Below are 2,649 nucleotides of genomic sequence, written 5' to 3' on the forward strand. Positions count from 1 at the left end.
TGCCTCCAGCTTTGTTCTGGAGGATTGTCTTGGCTACACAAGCTCTTTTTTGGTTCCATGTAAATTTTAAAATAGTTTCTTCTAATTCTGTGAAGAATGTCAATGGTAGTTTAATGGGAATAGCATTTAATCTATAAATTACTTTGGCCATTATGGCCATTTTTATAATATTGATTCTTTCTATCCATGAGCATGGAAAGTTTTCCTATTTGTTTGTGTCCTCTCCTATTTCCTTGAGCAGTGTTTTGCAGTTATACTTGAAGAGGTTCTTCACTTCCCTTGTTAGCTTTATTCCTAGCATTTTCTTCTCTTTGTACCAATTGTGAATAAGAGTTCATTCATGATTTGGCTCTCTGCTTGTCTGTTGTTGGTGTATAGGAATGCTTGTGACTTTTGCACATTGATTTTTGTATCCTGAGACTTTGCTAAGGTTGCTTAAGAGACAGTGTTCCAGAATCTCTGAGACACAGCTAAAGCCATGTTAAGAGGGAAATTTATAACACTTTATATGATAAATGCTATATGATAAATGCCCATATCAAAAAGCTAGAAAGATCTCAAATTGACATGCTAACATCACAACTAAAAGAATTAGAGAACCAAGAGCAAGCAAACCCCAAAGTTCACAGAAGACAAGAAATAACTAAGCTCAGAGTGGAACTGAAGGAGATAGAGATACAAAAAACCCTTCAAAAAATCAATGAATCCAAGACCTGGTGTTATGAAAAAAATAATAAAATAGATAGACCACTAGCTAGGCTAATAAAGAAGAAAAGAGAGAAGAATCGAGTAGACACAGTAAAAAGATGATAAAGAGTATATCAACACTAACTCCATAAAAATGCAAACAACCATCAGTGAATACTGTAAACACCTCTATGCAAATAAACTAGAAAGTCTAGAAGAAATTGATAAATTCCTGGATACATACATACTCCCAAGAATGAACCAGGAAGAAGTTGAATCACTAAATAAACCAATAACAAGTTCTGAAACTGAAGTAGTAATAAATAGCCTACAAAAAAAAAAAAAAAAAAAAAAACCCAGGACCCAGTGGATTTACAGCTGAATTCTACCAGAGGTACAAGGAGGAGCCCTTACCATTTCTTCTGTAACTACTCCAAACAATTAAAAAGGAGGGACTCCTCCCTAACTCATCTTATGAGGCCAGCATCATCCTGACACCAAAATCTGGCAAAGATACAACAAATAAAAGAAATCTTCAGGCCAATATCCCTGATGAACATTGATGCAAAAATTCTCAATAAAAGATTGGTAAACTGGCCAGCCGTGGTGCCTCACGCCTGTAATCCCAGCACTTTGGGAGGCCGAGGCGGGAGGATCATGAGGTCAGGAGTTCAAGACCAGCCTGGCCAACATGGTGAAACCCCATCTCTATTAAAAATACAAAAATTAGCTGGGCATGGTGGCAGGAGCCTGTAATTCCAGCTACTCAGGAGGCTGAGGCAGGAGAATCGTTTGAACTTGGAAGGCAAAGGTTGCAGTGAGCTGAGATTGTGCCATTGCACTCCAGCCTGGGTGACAGGGACAAGATGAGACTCTGTCTAAAACAAACAAACAAACAAAAAATACTAGCAAACCAAATCCAGCAGCACATCAAAAAGCTTATCCACCATGATCAAGTCAGCTTCATCCCTGGGGTGCAAGCCTGGTTCAACATACACAAATCAATAAACGTAATACATCACATAAACAGAACTAAAGACAAAAACCACATAATTATCTCAATAAAAGCAGAAAAGGTCTTTGACAAAATTTAACATTCCTTCATGTTGAAAACTGTCAATAAACTATATATCGGAAGAACATCCCTCAAAATAATGAGTCATTTATGACAAACCCACAGCCATTATTATACTGAATGGGCAAAAGCTGGAAGCATTCCCCTTGAAAACTGACACAAGTCAGGGATGCCCTCTCTTACTATTCCTATTGAACATAGTATTGGAAGTTCTGGCCAGGACAATTAGGCAAGAGAAAAAAAATAAAAGGTATTCAAATAGGAAGAGAGGAAGTCAAACTGTCTTTGTTTGCAGGTGATATGATCCTATAGCTAGAAAATCCCATCATCTCATATCTATCTTTTCATTGCTATGCCTGCATTACTTAGGGCTTGGATGATGTTTAGGACATACTATTACCAGTAAATTTTTTTTCAATGAATCATGTCTTTCACTGAAACTGAAAATATGTTCTGGGCATACCCTTGGGCCTGGTGGAGATTGGGTTGTAAGAACTCTGGTTTACTGTTGTTTCTTAAACATCTTTGTAATTGGATATGACTTCACTTGAGATTTAGTTTCCATATCCACAAAAGAAACAGAGTAGATCTTTTCCTATTCTACATAAAAAAGATATCTGTAAGAACAAATAAAGGAAAAATAAAACTTTATTTTCCTGTTAAATATATATATGAGACATATATATGAGATATATATATATATATAATATATATGCGTGTGTATATATATATCTCAGTAGGGTGTTGTGTCTTACTGAGACACCCACAGGGGCAAATAAGGAAATTTTGCATTACCCATCCCTCAACCCCAGGTAACACAACTTGTGGCTCCAAAACAGACCTCTTCCTTCTCCTTGAGGAGAGGAGAGGGAAGAGTAGGGAGGACT

The sequence above is a fragment of the Homo sapiens genome, chromosome 1 (genome assembly GCF_000001405.40).
Source record: "Homo sapiens chromosome 1, GRCh38.p14 Primary Assembly".
Taxonomy (NCBI): domain Eukaryota; kingdom Metazoa; phylum Chordata; class Mammalia; order Primates; family Hominidae; genus Homo; species Homo sapiens.